The 15,639-nt window shown below is 51.1% G+C and overlaps 1 protein-coding gene across 4 annotated transcripts in view; it reads right to left on the bottom strand.

Annotated features, from left to right (window-relative positions):
• The window catches only part of RPH3AL (rabphilin 3A like (without C2 domains)), a 140,419-nt gene extending 133,618 nt beyond the window's left edge, over window positions 1-6,801 (bottom strand). For all 4 annotated transcript variants that reach the window (NM_001190413.2, NM_001190411.2, NM_001190412.2 and 1 more), the window contains exon 1: window positions 6,706-6,801. The gene's annotated coding sequence lies outside the window, so the exon portion shown is untranslated. The remainder of the gene's footprint in view (window positions 1-6,705) is intronic.

Below are 15,639 nucleotides of genomic sequence, written 5' to 3' on the forward strand. Positions count from 1 at the left end.
TTAGGAGAACCACCATTGAGGGCTTACCATTTGCAAGGTTTAGTTCCAAGTGCTTATGGAATCATCTCCTTTATCTTTCAAAGTAACCCTATGAGGCAGGTTTTAACAACCCCATTGTACAGGTGAGCAAACTGAGGCTCAGAGAGGTAAATGACAGCTGGTAAGCGACAAAGGCCCAGGATTTGAACTCCAAGCATAAGCTCTTAACCACAAGCATAGTCCAACTTCTCAACACTTCATAGTACTCTTTGCTAGACAGAACTATGTGTGTTTGGGGCCTTTTCCCGTCCCAGTTGTGTTAGTCCGTTTTCACGCTGCTGATAAGGCATACCCAAGACTGGGCAATTTACAAAAGAAAGAGGTTTAATGGACTTACAGTTCCACGTGGCTGGGGAAGCCTCACAATCATGGTGGAAGGCAAGGAGGAGCAAGTCACGTCTTACATAAACGGCAGCAGGCAAAGAGAGAGCTTGTGCAGGAAAACTCCCCCTTACAGAACCATCAGCTCTCGTGAGACTTATTCACTCTCATGAGAACAGCACGGGAAAGACCCGCCCCCATGATTCAATGACCTCCACCGGGTCTCTCCCACAACAGGTGGGAATGCAAGATGAGATTTGGGTGGGGACACAGCCAAACCATATCATCAGTCATCCCATGTACGCACATAATCTTTTTTCCTTCTCCTTTCAGATAAGTCAGAGACAATAAATAAGATTATAAATAGAAAAACACTATTTTGTAAAATATAAGAAAACAAACAACAGACACTTCACTGAAGATATACAAATGGCAAACAAGCCAATGAAAAGATGTCCAACATGATATGTAATTAGGGAATTGCAAATTAAAACAACAAGATACTACTACACACCTGTTAGAACAGCCCAGATCCAAAACACTGACAACACCAAATGCTAGTGAGGATGTGCGGCAACAGGAACCTCAAACACTGTAAAATGGCCCAGCCGGCCAGGCGCGGTGGCTCACGCCTGTAATCCCAGCACTTTGGGAGGCCGAGGCGGGAGGATCACGAGGTCAGGAGATCGAGACCATCCTGGCTAACATGGTGAAACCCCGTCTCTACTAAAAATACAAAAAATTAGCCAGGCATGGTGGCAGGCACCTGTAGTCCCAGCTATTCAGGAGGCTGAGGCAGGAGAATGGCGTGAACCCGGGAGGCAGAGGTTGCAGTGAGCCAGGATCATGCCACTGTGCTCCAGCCTAGGCAACAGAGCGAGACTCCGTCCCAGATTTTAAAAAAATAAATAAATAAATAAAAATAAAGCCAACCTGGGCAGCACAGTGGGACTCTGTATCTATGAAAAATAAAAAATTTTCAACAGGGAACCCTCAAGCACTGCAAAACAGTACAGCCAACCTGGGTAGCACAGTGGGACTTTGTATCTATGAAAAATAAAAACATGTTTAGCCAGGCGTGAGGGCACATGCCCACAGTCCCAGCTCCTCGAGAGGCTGAGATGGGAGGATGGCTTGAGCCCCAGAGCTCAGGGTGGCAGGGAGCCGTGACTGTACAACCACACTCCAGCCTGGGTGACAGAGCAAGACTCTGTTCAAAAAAAAAACCAGCCCAGCCACTTTGGAAGGTAGTTTGTTACAAAGTTGACTATACTCTTACCAAAGGATCCAGCAATCACATTCCTTGGTATATGCAAATGAACTGAACATTTATGCAAATAAACTGAACAGTTATCTCTATTCAAGAACCGGCACACTCATGTTGACTAAATATTTATTCATAATTGCAAAAACTTGGACACAACCAAGATGTCCTTCATCAGGTGAATAAACAAAATATGGTACCATATATTCATACGATGGAACAGAATTCAGTGATAAAAAAAATGAGCTAGTAAGGCTGGGCAGGATGGCTCATGCCTGTAATCCCAGCATTTTAGGAGACCGAGGTGGAAGGATTACTTGAGGCTAGGAGTTCAAGGCCAGCCTGAGCAAAATAGTGAAATCCCATCTCTACCAAAAAAAAAAAAATTAAATTAATTAAAAGAAAAATGAGGCTACTCTGGGCACCCTGCCTATGGGGCAACCCTTCTCTGCAAGGAGCAGTTAAAAAAAAAAAAAAAAACAGAGCTGGCAAAGGGAAGGAAACCAGTCTGAAAGGGCTACTTACTGCAGGGTTCCAACTACATCTATGACATTCTGGAAAAGGCCAAACTATGGAGACAGTAAAAAGACCAGGGATTTGGGCGTGGAACAGGAAGGATGAGGACATGGATTGCAGGGGATTTTGAAGGCAGCAAAGCCATTATTCTCCCCACATGTCCTTACACATTGGTTGAAGTCCACACTACCTACACCTCCAAGATCCAACCCTAAGTGTACACTACACGTTTCAGTTAATAATAATGTATCAGTATTACCACATTTATTGTAACAAATGTACCTCACCAAAGCAAGATGTTAATCATGGGAAATTGAAAGAGGTAAGAGGTTAGACGGGAACTCTGTACTTTTTGTTCAATTTTTTCTGTAAACCTAACACTGTTCAAGAAAAAAAAAAAAAAGTAAAGTGCTACCAAATGCAATGAAAAAAATTTTAATTTTCTTCTTCATAGAGAAAACAAAAATAGCACACTAATGGTCATCAATGCGGAAGAATCTTGCCACGCCACTAATATTACATTTGAGTGTTATACCCTCCCGAATGCTTTTGTGTGGACTAATCACAGGCGCCCATCATCCCTGTTTGCTAAAGGAGGAAGGTACGTACTGTCCATGCCTGTGTTCCATCCCCACCACGTGGCCCTCCCTTGGGAGTGCAGAACACTGAAAGGTCAACAAATACTGGGCCCCAGTTCTTTCTTCACCACATGCATCACAGTTGGAATCTGTGTTTATTTCTTTGTTTACGTGTTAATCTCTGGAAGGTGCACGGGGAGAAGGGTCACCTCCATTGTGCTGGCTCTGAAGAGCCACTGCATATTGCACAGTGCACGAGATGAATCCAAAATGAATCAGACAGCGGCTCCAATAAATGCTGAGGCCATGCAAAGAACACTGGGAGTGAAGAGAAGGCGCAGTGAAGATCTTGCTCTGTGGCAGTCCTGGAGGGCTTCAAAGAGAAGAATGTGGTGCAGGGCTCAGAGGGAAAAGGAGGGACTTGGCAGGCAGAAGGCGGCATTCCAGGGAGAGAATGGTCCTCCCAGAAGTGCCACAAAGGAAGAGGAAACTCACTCAGAGAACTAGGGTAATTGGGCAGGAGGGAAACTCGCCTGGGCAGGTTAGTGACTGCCCTGAGGTCACAGCTCGCTGGCACCAACTTGGGCAGAGCTGGGAACTCCGAAGCTGTAGAAACAGCCAAGTGCACCTTGAGCTTTCACTGAAGTCAGGCTGAGAAGAGAGGAAAGTGAACACACCCTCCCCATTTCACCCACATCTCCCAACATCCAGGGGCCAGGAGCGTGCCCAGAAATTACCAGCTCAAACTCAAAACGGCTCTAAGGTTAAATGCACGTTCTATCCCACCACATATTGATTATTTCAAAAATTAAAATGACTGGGCACAGTGGACCATGCCTGTAATCCCAACACTTTGGGAGGCCAAGGTGGGAGGATTGCTTGAGGCCAGGAGTTCGAGACCAACCTGGGCAATGTAGCAAGACCCCATCTCTATAAAAAAACTTTTTAATAAAAATAAATGTTAAAAATTAACTAATTAATTCAATTTAATTAAAATAATGCTTCTCCTCCACCTTAAGACATAACCTTCCAAAAATGTCTTCCAGTAAAATCGAGTCCAGGATTATGCAACTCTAGTTTTATGTAGTAATAGCAGCAGCAGCTGACATTTCTGTAACACCTTATCTATATCATCACTCACAATCTCCACTGCAATCCCATCGAGGGCCATCAGCACCCTGATATTACTGCTGTGCCCAGCACACCACAGGGACAGCACACACCCACACAGAGGAGCACAGAGGCCAATTAGATTCCTCCAAGTTAAATAGTGTGTCCACAGTCTCACTACTGCAGATGCGATCTCCCTTTCAGAGGTGTAGGTTTGCAATTGGACTCTACAGCTAACCAGCGGTTTAATTTGGGGCTTGTTACATTTCCCTACACTCCATTTCTTCCTCTGTACAACAGAGGTAATAAGTAATGCATTCCTCAACAGGTTTTTTCCAGAGTGAATTGTGGTAACAGAGTAAAAGTTCCAGGCTGGGCGCGGTGGCTCACGCCTGTAATCCTAGCACTTTGGGAGGCTGAGGCAGACGGATCACAACATTGAGACCAGCCTGGCCAACATAGTTAAACCTCATCTCTACTAAAAATACAAAAATTATCTGGACGTGGTGGCACGCACTTGTAATCCAAGCACTTTGGGAGGCCGAGGTGGGCAGATCATGAGGTCAAGAGATCAAGACCAGCCTGGCCAACATGGGTGAAACACCATCTCCACTAAAAATACAAAAATTAGCTGGGCATGGTGGTGCATGCCTGTAATCCCAGCTACTCAGGAGGCTGAGGCAGGGGAATCGCTTGAACCGAGGAGGCGGAGGTTGCAGTGAGCCGAGATCGCACCAGTGCACTCTAGCTGGTGACAGAGCAAGACCCCATCTCAAAAAAAGAAAAAAAAGTTCCAAACACAGTATCTGGTACCTAGCAGGCCCTCACAAAACAAAACAAAACAAACCCGTTTTTTAAACCAAGCTGGTCCCTGAATGCTGGTGAACTTCTCTGCACTAAAAGGATGAAATGGGAATTAAAAAAACTGTGACCCTCTGACCGCAGGCCCTGATGATGGATGAAATCTTGGCCTGGGCTGTCAGCCAAGGCCATCTGGGCCAAACCATAGGGCAGGAAACAGCAGGCTTCCTCCTCCTGTCTGAACTCTGGCCCAGAGAGGAGCTTCCTTCAGCTGGCCGCACCCACTTCCCCGACAACATTCCAGAACATTCCATGATAGGCCAGGAGACTCCAGGAAGAGGTCACTGAGTAGCTCTTAGCATCTCCTCCCAGCCCAGCCAGGAGAAGATGCTCCCCCCTTCTAGGACTCCATGTACAACTTCTGAACTGTACCCCTGCCCATCACCCACGGCCTCCCCACAGAGGGCCAAGGCTCAGCTTGTCCACCTCCGACCTACCTCTCTCCAACGTCTCTAGGCTGCCCCCCAAGCCAGTAAGAGATGTCCTGGGTGGCTGGGTTGCTTGTCCTTGGCTATGGCCCTAGTTTGGCTTCTTAAACCCTCTTTACCTGGGCCCTTAACTGGTCATCTGCCTCCAGTCCTGGTATCCACTACACATAAACGAGACTCTTCAAGGACTGTCAAGAAACACTCCCCTCCTCAAGCACCCTCAATAGCTCCCACTGCCTCCTGAAAAGTTCAGAGGCCACACCCTGAGACTGACGGTCCTCCACAATATAGTCCCACACCTACCCTCTGTTCCCTACAGGACTCACCTGCTGCAACCAAAATAGATTACACCAAGAATCGTACCCACATGTCTGGACCTGTAAGTACAGACCCACCTCCCATCTCCACCTAGCTGAGTCTCACTCCTCCTGCACCCCGCCTGTCTCTTCCATGAGCCTCTCTTTTTCTTGTCTCTGAATTCCTCCAGCATGCAATTTCCAAAGCACAGGCCTCCACACGCCACCAGCCATCCCCACGTGGCTCCCGTACGATTCTTTACTTAATATTTCCCTTTAAATCAACCCACTCTTTTACTTGAACAAATTTATTTTCAAAGGAAACTGTATATCTCCACCATAAATAGAAAAACCATGCCATATGCCACAAATAGAAGGCAGATGAAAAAAAACAAGTTATGCTCTAATACACATGAAAATAAATCATCAGGAAAACATTTTTAAATGCTTGTCCATGTGCCTGACGAGGTAAACCTATATACAGGTTGTAAATGGAACAGCACCTCGAGGGACAAGGGTCCCGAAACGGGCCCCTGCATGTGCGTACAGGCCGTGCTTACATCCTGACAACTTCAACTGCTCCTGACCAAGTCAACTGGCCACGCGGCCTTCCAAAATCTTCAAAAATCCCCTCCTGCTCTAAGACGCGTGGCCTTGGCACTTTATGTTCTGCTTTCTTTGTGGCCCCTGGGTTTTTCGGCCCCATCTCACAGTTATCTGGGGACTTGTCACCAAATGTGAGTATCCCAGGGTAGGGAGCACAGAGCCTGCTGCAGCCCCTGAGCCAGTCTTGCACGCAGCATAACACGCAATACAAACAGCTCTCCAACAGCACGCTCTGGTCTGCTCCGATGCGTGGCCCCCATTCTCTGCCTGACCCCAGGCCCATCTGCTGCTAGCGCACAACCCCTCTGCCCCACTCCCCCAAATCCATCTCTGTCCACTGGGGTGTTTCAAAGGACCACACAGAAAGAGCAACGGAGGCACCAGCGGGGCATGAGGCTGTTCTCCAGCCCCGGCTGCCTCTTCTTTAGAAGCAGCAGGACCTGCGGCACGAGGCTGTTCTCCAGCCCCGGCTGCCTCTTCTTTAGAAGCAGCAGGACCTGGGGCAGCCTGGAAAAGCAAGTTTCCAGTCAACGATTAACCAGACGCTCTCCCAGCAAAGACACAAACCTTTTCCCCGGAAGTTAGCAAAGTTCTGTGAAAACCCCTGCATGAACTGGGCCCCTGACTCCAGGAAAACAGAGGCATCTTCCAATGTCCTTGGAGCCATGAGACCCCGAAACACCTACCGGGAACAGAGGGGCTTCACCCAGACAGGCCCCACCAGGGAGGAGGAGGCCGCTCTCCCTCCCACCACCGTTGTCGGGGGTGACCCGAGGTGTTCCAGATGAGGAGCTGAATCACTGGGACTTAAGTCAATAAGTGGCAGCCACCAGGCAGGCCCAGCTGGAGCCAAACCAAGGCCTGGATTCTCCTCGTGGATGTCTGGTAAGGCCCCACCACGTACCCCAGTCACGTAGTCTCTAAAACTGAACAGATTTGGGACGCTTCCTCTTAGAGGGCAGCCCTCTTTGGGACTGTTAGTCTGGCCACTTTTACACATTTCAAGCATTTTTTGGGTTAGAAAGGGCACATTTTCTGTATCCAAAACAGCCCTTACAGGCAGCAGTGGTGGTGCACGGGGCCTGCGTCAGCATCTCATCGCTTCCTGAAGCCCCGCTGCCTGGAGTGGGGCCCCTTTTGGGTGTGGCTCTTCAGGAGCAAGGCAAATTGACGCACAGAGAACTTGACAGATGTGTAAATGGAACAGCTTCCCGGAGGTACCTCGAGGAGGGCAAGGGTAATGAAATGAATGAAATGAACCCCTGCACAGCGAGGGAGCACTTACACCCTGACACCCTCCTGCAGGGAGAAGGAAGATGACAAGGATCTCTCTGTTGACCTTTTCATAGTGCAAACAAGCTACTGATAGAAAAAAGAAAATGTTTTCATGCTTAAAAAAAAAATAAACACCATCAGCAACCTTTCCCCATGGGGAGCAGCAGCAGGTGCTACCACAAGAGAGACAGACAGATGGATATAATTGCCAAGAGGCTCTCAAACTGGGTTCCAAGGAGCCAGGGGTGTGGAGACCCTCTTCAGGACTGTACAGGCGAAGCAGGGGGCTGGGAACAAGGCCGGTTATTATAACCCAACAAACTGGGTTCCAAGGAGCCAGGGGTGTGGAGCCCCTCTTCAGGACCGTGCAAGCAGAAGCAGGGGGCTGGGAACAAGGGGGTTATTACAGCCCAACCCAGAGCAACTCAGCTTTTTCCTCGTCATCTGTCAGGCTTCCAGGTAAGACTTCATTTGAAGAAAAGGTCCTGCAGTAAAGATGTTGAGAAGTGCTGATATGCGCTGCTGGTTATATGAAAGGGTGGAAGGAGGACTGGCACGGTGGCTCACTCCTGTAACCCCAGCTACTCCAGAGGCCGAGGCGGGTGGATCACCTAAGGTCAGGAGTTCGAGACCAGCCTGGCCAACATAGTAAAAACCCATCTCTACTGAAAATACAAAAATTAGCCAGGTGTGGTGGCAAATGTCTGTAGCCCCAGCCATTCAGGAGGCTGAGGTGGGAGGGTGGCTGGAGTCTAGGAGTTTGAGGCTGCTGTGAGCCATGATCTAGCCACCGTACTCCAGCCTAGGTGACAGAGTGAGACCTCGCCTTAAAATTTAAAAAATAAAATAAAATTCATGGGTAGGCCAGGCATAGTGGCTCACGCCTGTAACCCTAGCACTTGGGAAGGCTGAGGCTTGGCCAGACATGGTCGTGGGCAACTGTCGTCCCAACTACTCGGGAGGCTGAGGCAGGAGAATCGCTTGAACCCGGAAGGCGGAGCTTGCAGTGAGCCGAGATCGCGCCACTGCACTCCAGCCTGGGCAACAGAGCGAGACTCCGACTCAAAAAAAAAAGAAAGAAAGAAAGAAAGTGTGGAATGTGCTGGAAGCCATCTCTGAGTGTGCGGGACCACACACCACACACATACCAAGGCCTGTGGGAGACCCGCACACCACAGCCCCAGGCCTGCAGGAATCAGCTGGTCTTTGTCCTGCTCATGCACTCCGTGTAGAAGAAATGCAGAAGAGAAGCCTCCTTTGCCAGGGTCCAGCCAGGCCACGCTGCTCTTCCCCTGGCAGGACCACAGGTCGGGAGGACCAAGCTCAGAAACGCAAATGACACCAAATCAAGTGGAGCCTCGAGCCAAGTGAAGCTTCTGGAAAAGAGACTTGAACCCAGCAGGGACAGGGGCTCGATGCAGACGTCAGAGCCAGAGGTGTGGATCCAGAGACCAGAGGCCAAAGAGATGTGATAAACTATGTCAGTGACTGGAGCCGACCCTGGTCAGTCCCTGGGGCAGGCATGGCAGCAAGAGGCTGGTTTCCACATGTGCCCAGAGTTTGCTTCATGGAAAGGCCAGCTCTGCGCAAAGGTCCAGGGGGGACCAGTCACGAAGGTGTGAAGAGGCCTGAGTGTTTGTCTTCCATTCAGCTGAGAAAGGCAGAACGCCGCCACACTGCTGCACAGACGGCACCTTCTACACCTTTACACTCCTCACACTGAGCTCCAGGGTCCGGACAGCTGTGCACCTGCCACCTTTAGCAAAGCGAAGGCCAGGGGCCCCTGCTGGCCTTCTGCAATGGGCATATATTTTGTCTACCCAGCATTCCTTTCCTTTTTGAGAATAACTCTTCAGGTCAAAGTAGTCACGCCCAGTCTTCCTGGGCAAGAGAAACAGCCCCTCCTTCCCCTTCTTCCTGGGTGAATGTGATGAGGATGACCAATTAGAATAGCCCCACCCCCAAGGCAGGGTAATTGGCTCAGGGCTGGGCATGTGACCCAGACCCAGCCATACTGAGTCCTCCTGGGGTCTTGCCAGAGTTCCTGTGCAATAAACCCACTGTCTGGGACGGTAAGCACGGCACTAGCTCACGATGGCCAGTAGCCACCTGGCTCCCCCTTGAAACGGCCTGTCTGCCGGTGCAGCTAAACAGAGCTGAGAGATGAAGGTGAGTCACCTCATACCCATGGTCAATGGCTGGATCCAGCCGTGCCTGAACGACTGTTTTGATCCCCAGGTGCCAGGCCCACAGAGCTGCCTTTTTGCTTATGCTAGTTTGAATTGGGTCCTTGTCATTTGCCATCCAGAGCCCTGAGTAAGTCACCTGCACTGTGTGGGAAGGTGTGACCGTGCACCACACTTACTAACAGTCATCTTCACAGGCGACCGCGCACCACACTTACTAACAGTCGTCTTCACAGGCGACCGCGCACCACACTTACTAACAGTCGTCTTCACAGGCGACCGTGCACCACACATACTAACAGTCGTCTTCACAGGCGACCGTGCACCACACTTACTAAAAGACATCTTCACAGGCGACCGTGCACCACACATACTAACAGTCGTCTTCACAGGCGACCGCGCACCACACTTGCTAACAGTCGTCTTCACAGGCGACCGCGCACCACACTTGCTAACAGTCGTCTTCACAGGCGACCGCGCACCACACTTGCTAACAGTCGTCTTCACAGACGACCGCGCACCACACTTGCTAACAGTCGTCTTCACAGGCGACCGCGCACCACACATACTAACAGTCGTCTTCACAGGCGACCGCGCACCACACATACTAACAGTCGTCTTCACAGGCGACCGCGCACCACACTTACTAACAGACGTCTTCACAGGCGACCGCGCACCACACTTACTAACAGTCGTCTTCACAGGCGACCGCGCACCACACTTACTAACAGTCGTCTTCACAGGCGACCGCGCACCACACTAACAGTCGTCTTCACAGGCGACCGCGCACCACACTTACTAACAGTCGTCTTCACAGGCGACCGCGCACCACACTTACTAACAGTCGTCTTCACAGGCGACCGCGCACCACACTTACTAACAGACGTCTTCACAGGCGACCGCGCACCACACTTACTAACAGTCGTCTTCACAGGCGACCGCGCACCACACTTACTAACAGTCGTCTTCACAGGCGACCGCGCACCACAGATACTAACAGTCGTCTTCACAGGCGACCATAGACCACACATACTAACAGTCGTCTTCACAGGCGACCGCGCACCACAGATACTAACAGTCGTCTTCACAGGCGACCGTAGACCACACATACTAACAGTCGTCTTCACAGGCGACCACGCACCACACACACTAACAGTCGTCTTCACAGGCGACCGCGCACCACACACACTAACGGACGTGCCCGACATCTTCACAGGCACAGCATGAGCCCTGATGTGCGCTTTCTGCTCCTGCTCCTGCTCCTGCCCCTTCGGAGGCCTGTGCCAGTGGCAGCTGGGCCCGGAGACACCAGGCCGGCACTGCTCTCTTTCGAGGCACCCGTGTTTGTGCCGACGCTGACTCCCGGTTGTCTGCAGCAGCCACGTGGCCGAAATGGAGCCTCTCCACGGGGGCTCCTTCCCCAGCCCCTGGATGGCACAGCAGCCTCTCCTGTCTGTCACCACGTGTGACCTGCTCCCTTAGTCTTCAGCCGCTCATCCACGTCTGCAGGGGCATCTAACTCTGTCCCAGGGTATCCCAGACCCTGGCTCACGCCCCAGGCTCTCCATTCAGGCTCCATCGTCCACCTCAGACCATCTCGGGTTTGCTGGTCTTCTGGACTAGCGCAGCCAGAAAGAACCCAGGAAGGAAGCCTCACGTCTGACACAAGAACCTTCGGTGCTAACCCGAGGGCGGTATGTGCATCCTCAGCACCTGCCCATCCGGCACCATCCTCTGATCCAGGGACTGTGAGCAACAGGGCCCCGTGGCCAGGACATCTCTCACCCTCCAGTTAAAATCTCGCCAGTTGAGTCTGCCCATGAAAGTAGGCGCTGAACTGCCCAATAAATCCACAAGTAAGAGTTGCAAGAAGGAGCCAAAAAGGGCTGAGCTGAATGACTCATATATGAAATAATTTGATAATTAATATAAATAGGAAATTTAAAGTCTCCAGCTGAGTGACAGAAAACACCTTAAAAAGCTCAAGAGAGAGGAAAGGAAGAAAATAAACCTATAATTGCAAAATAAAAGCATTGAAAGAAGCCGTGCTCAAGGTAAGATGCTACAGATGCAATAAATTCATGTTTTAACATTAGCAACGTGTGGGCAACGGTGTTCCCTGGGGAACTGGCTGCATGAAGCCTCTCTGGAGAGCTGGGCCAGGCCAGTGGGAGGGCAGCTGGCACGGCCGGGGCTGGTGCGGGGTCCTGAGGCCAGAACCTGCCGGAGGGCCGTCCCCAAGGACCAACAGGCACGGGAGAGGCAGAATATAAACGCAGTCAGGGAGTAAAGGCTGTGCATTCTCCCCGGGTATTGCCTCCACCACCCCCGGGCCACACTTGGGCCTGCCCAGTTCCCCTAGCTCTTCTCTTTCCTGCCTTGCCTGCCTAAGGCCCCTCTCCCCCTGCACTCCACTCGTATCTGCTTCTCCGCCTCCTGCCCAGTCAGCCTGCTGTGCAGAGCTCCCGCAGCTGCCTCAGATCCACCCTTCCTGGGTGGCTGCTCCTCCCCGCCACCGCCCTAGGAGCACCCCAAGTAAAATCTGGTTTTTCTCCCCTCCAGGTCTGCCTCTGCCTTTGCTCCTGCTATCCCCAGGGCCCCAGGTGCCCCTCCCTCCACCTCATCCTTCTGGACCCAGCAAATGTCCTCCACCAGGAGGCCTTTCTGGACCTCCTCATCCTCCTGGAAGGAGCCTCTCCCACCCCGAAGTCCTTTAACTATTTACTTGTCCCTCTCCTTCGTACTGAGCTTATGCTGTATTTGTTTATGTGCTTATCTTCTACTGGGCTCATCTCTGTAACCTTTTTATTCTTTTATTCATTCATTCCACAAATACTAATTGAGCACCTACTATGTGCCAGACCCCATGCTAGGACTGGGGACACAATGATGAGCAAGACAGACACTGTCCCTGCCACCCTGGAACTCCCATCTTGGAGAGAAACAACAAAAACAAAACACGAAGCAAATAAACATTAGTAAACACGTCAGGATAAGCGGCGATATAGGCTGGGATAGAAAGGTGTAGGTGATGTGAGAGGCGAGTGTCCGTGCGGACAGAGGAGCTGGGGGAGGAGACTCTGAGGCCAGAGGTGTGAGCGGAGTGAGTCGGGCACGCTTTCCAGACACAAAATCGGTGTTTGCTAAACATGCGTGGAACAAATGAGTGGCTAACAAGCCAGAAATCCCAAGCGCGTGCCCCGTGTCGCTCCAGACACAACTTCCCCACCCTCATCACCCTGTGGGTCACTCCGACTGGCACCCAGACGCGTTTCCCAGCCCACACGCCTGCTACAGGGCCCACCTGTGTCACCCTCGCAGAGGCGCTTACCAGGACTCAAGGGGCTCTCCGCTCAGAACCCCTCATGGCCTCCCTGACACCACCAGCGGCCCTCGGGCTGGACAGCAAGCGGGTTTTGTCTCGCCTGCAGACTCCAGCCCCGGAGCACCACGCATGGAAGCGCAGCGAGGCCGCCCCTGGGCTCGGTGGGAAAGAGCCCTGATCGACTGGTGGCGTCTGCCAGGGGACGGCAGAAGACAGAGAGGCACATTTGCCACGTATTTTCCTTGTCACCCAGGGCTCCGCAAATGACCACTCAGGCAAGAAATCTCCTTCAGGTCTAATTGCCTGGACGAGCATTCAGTATCTGGTGCCCTTTCCTTATGGGCCACGTGAACCACGTCACTGATTTTTTTTTCCTGCTTTGACTGCTCATTAGCTCAGAGCTAAATGTGTGGTTCAAACACAGCAAAGTATATACAGCTCGATGGCCTGAATAGGGGGTCTAACTCTCCCCCTGCTTTCAACCTTCTAGCTAATCTACATCTATGTCTTTCCTGATCTTATTTTTTTGATCTCTATTTAGTTACATGTCCATATACATACACACATATATGTATAGACATATATAAACAGACATACATACATATATAAATATAAAATATCTACATATAGGTCTGGTATGTAATACCTACTTTACTTTTTTTCTATGAATGTATCTTTTAGATATATAGATATATTATGAATATATCTTACTTTAAAAAATAGAGACAGGGTCTCACTATGTTGCCCAGGCTTGGCTGAAACTCCTGGACTGAAGCGATCTGCCTGCCCTGCCCCCCACAAAGTGCTGGGATTACAGGCACGAGCCACCATGCCCAGCCATTAACATGTCTTTTTATATTTATTTTTTATATTTCTTCTCCCTTTTTTTTTTTTCAGAGACAGGGTCTCACTATGTTGCCTACGCTGGTCTTGAACTCCTGGGCTCAGGCAATCCTCTTGCCTCAGCTTCCCAAAGTGCTGGGATTACAGGCACGAGCCACTGCACCCAGCCTTTATATTTCTTATATAAATAAAATATATAGAGAGATATACATATATTCTTGTAAGCACCCTCAATTCATTTATGGAACAAGATAGAGGAATAAATGGATAGATGAATAAATGACAGACAGGAAATACCAACGCAGAATGAGACAACTTTGCTCAAAGAATTCAGAATACAGTTAGCTGCATTCTGTCATGAACAGAGTCTGGAGTTAGAGATCAGAAGCCAGGCTCTCAGTCCCAGCTCGGACCAGCTACATGACTGTGAAGGGAAACAAGTTACACACACACACATCCCCGCAAGTCCTTACCCCGGCCAATCTGAGGCTTTATCAATTATTAAATGTCTATCATCTAATCTGCGCTGCTCACTTCCCCTGGTGGTAACAGAAATTACATGGGAGGTTCCTGACAGCGCCGTCAACACCAGCCTCACGCACGACACTGGCCTCATTATTAGCATTGGAGACAACACTCCAGGCAGCCCGCGTTCAACGATAAATAATAAGACACCAAGCCGCACGGCCTCCTACTAAATGCTGCAGGAATTCAAAGAGAAAGGAGCCCTCAGAACCCACATCTGCATTCAGTGTCCTGCCCCTCTGATGTCTGAGAGCAGCGTCTGACTGAAGGACTTGGATCTCTTGCTTCTCCTAGTAAGAAGCAAGTCCCAGCCAGGATCAGTCGCAAAAACCCTCAGGACTGGAAACGGCTGCCCTGGTATGGAGCAAAGGGCTGGGGCTCTGACAGCCCACAGCAGTCCCCTGACCGCACTGTCCCCTGCAGAAAGGCCAGCACAGCACGCATCACCCGTGGGCCAGGTGAAAGAGGACAGGCCAAGGCTGGAAACCGTGGGGCGCTGGGGCAGGTGACCCCTCCGTGTGCCTCCCACATGACCTCACAGACCTGACGCCTGCGTGTGCCTCCCACATGACCTCACAGACCTGACCCCAGCGTGTTCCTCCCACATGACCTCACAGACCTGACCCCAGCGTGTTCCTCCCACATGACCTCACAGACCTGACCCCAGCGTGTTCCTCCCACATGACCTCACAGACCTGACCCCAACGTGTTCCTCCCACATGACCTCACAGACCTGACCCCAGCGTGTTCCTCCCACATGACCTCACAGACCTGACCCCTGCGTGTTCCTCCCACATGACCTCACAGACCTGACCCCTGCGTGTTCCTCCCACATGACCTCACAGACCTGACCCCTGCGTGTTCCTCCCACATGACCTCACAGACCTGACCCCTGCGTGTGCCTCCCACATGACCTCACAGACATCTCCTGTCCCCCATCACAGGCCCATGTACAGTCACCAGGGTTTCCAGGCACCTGAATCCGCACCACTGGGTTTTAAATCACAGGAGAAAGTGAGTCAATGACAATAACAAGAATCCTTTTCAGCAAGTTTGTCAGGCGGCATGGACCGTCCTTTCTTTTCTGGGGGAAGTGACGGAATTCACAAAGCTAGTAAGATTAACACTAAATTCTGGAATGTTCCCTGCCCAGTCAAGTGCTGAAATTGAAGGCAAAAAAAAGGAGGGGTGATACACAGTCGAAGGGCTGAGTTTGCCAATCAGTTCAAGTTGAGAGGTGACAGCGTGCTGGCAGTCCTCAGAGCCCTCGCTTGCTCTCGGCACCTCCCCTGCCTGGGCTCCCACTTTGGTGACACTTGAGGAGCCCTTCGGCCCTCCGCTGCACTGTGGGAGCCCCTTTCTGGGCTGGCCAAGGCTGGAGCCCACTCCCTCAGCTTGCAGGGAGGTGTGGAGGGAGAGGCACCAGTGGGAACCGGGGCTGTGTGCGGCGCTTGCGGGCCAGCTGG

Source organism: Homo sapiens, chromosome 17, assembly GCF_000001405.40.
Source record: "Homo sapiens chromosome 17, GRCh38.p14 Primary Assembly".
In the NCBI taxonomy this organism is placed as follows: Eukaryota; Metazoa; Chordata; class Mammalia; order Primates; family Hominidae; genus Homo; species Homo sapiens.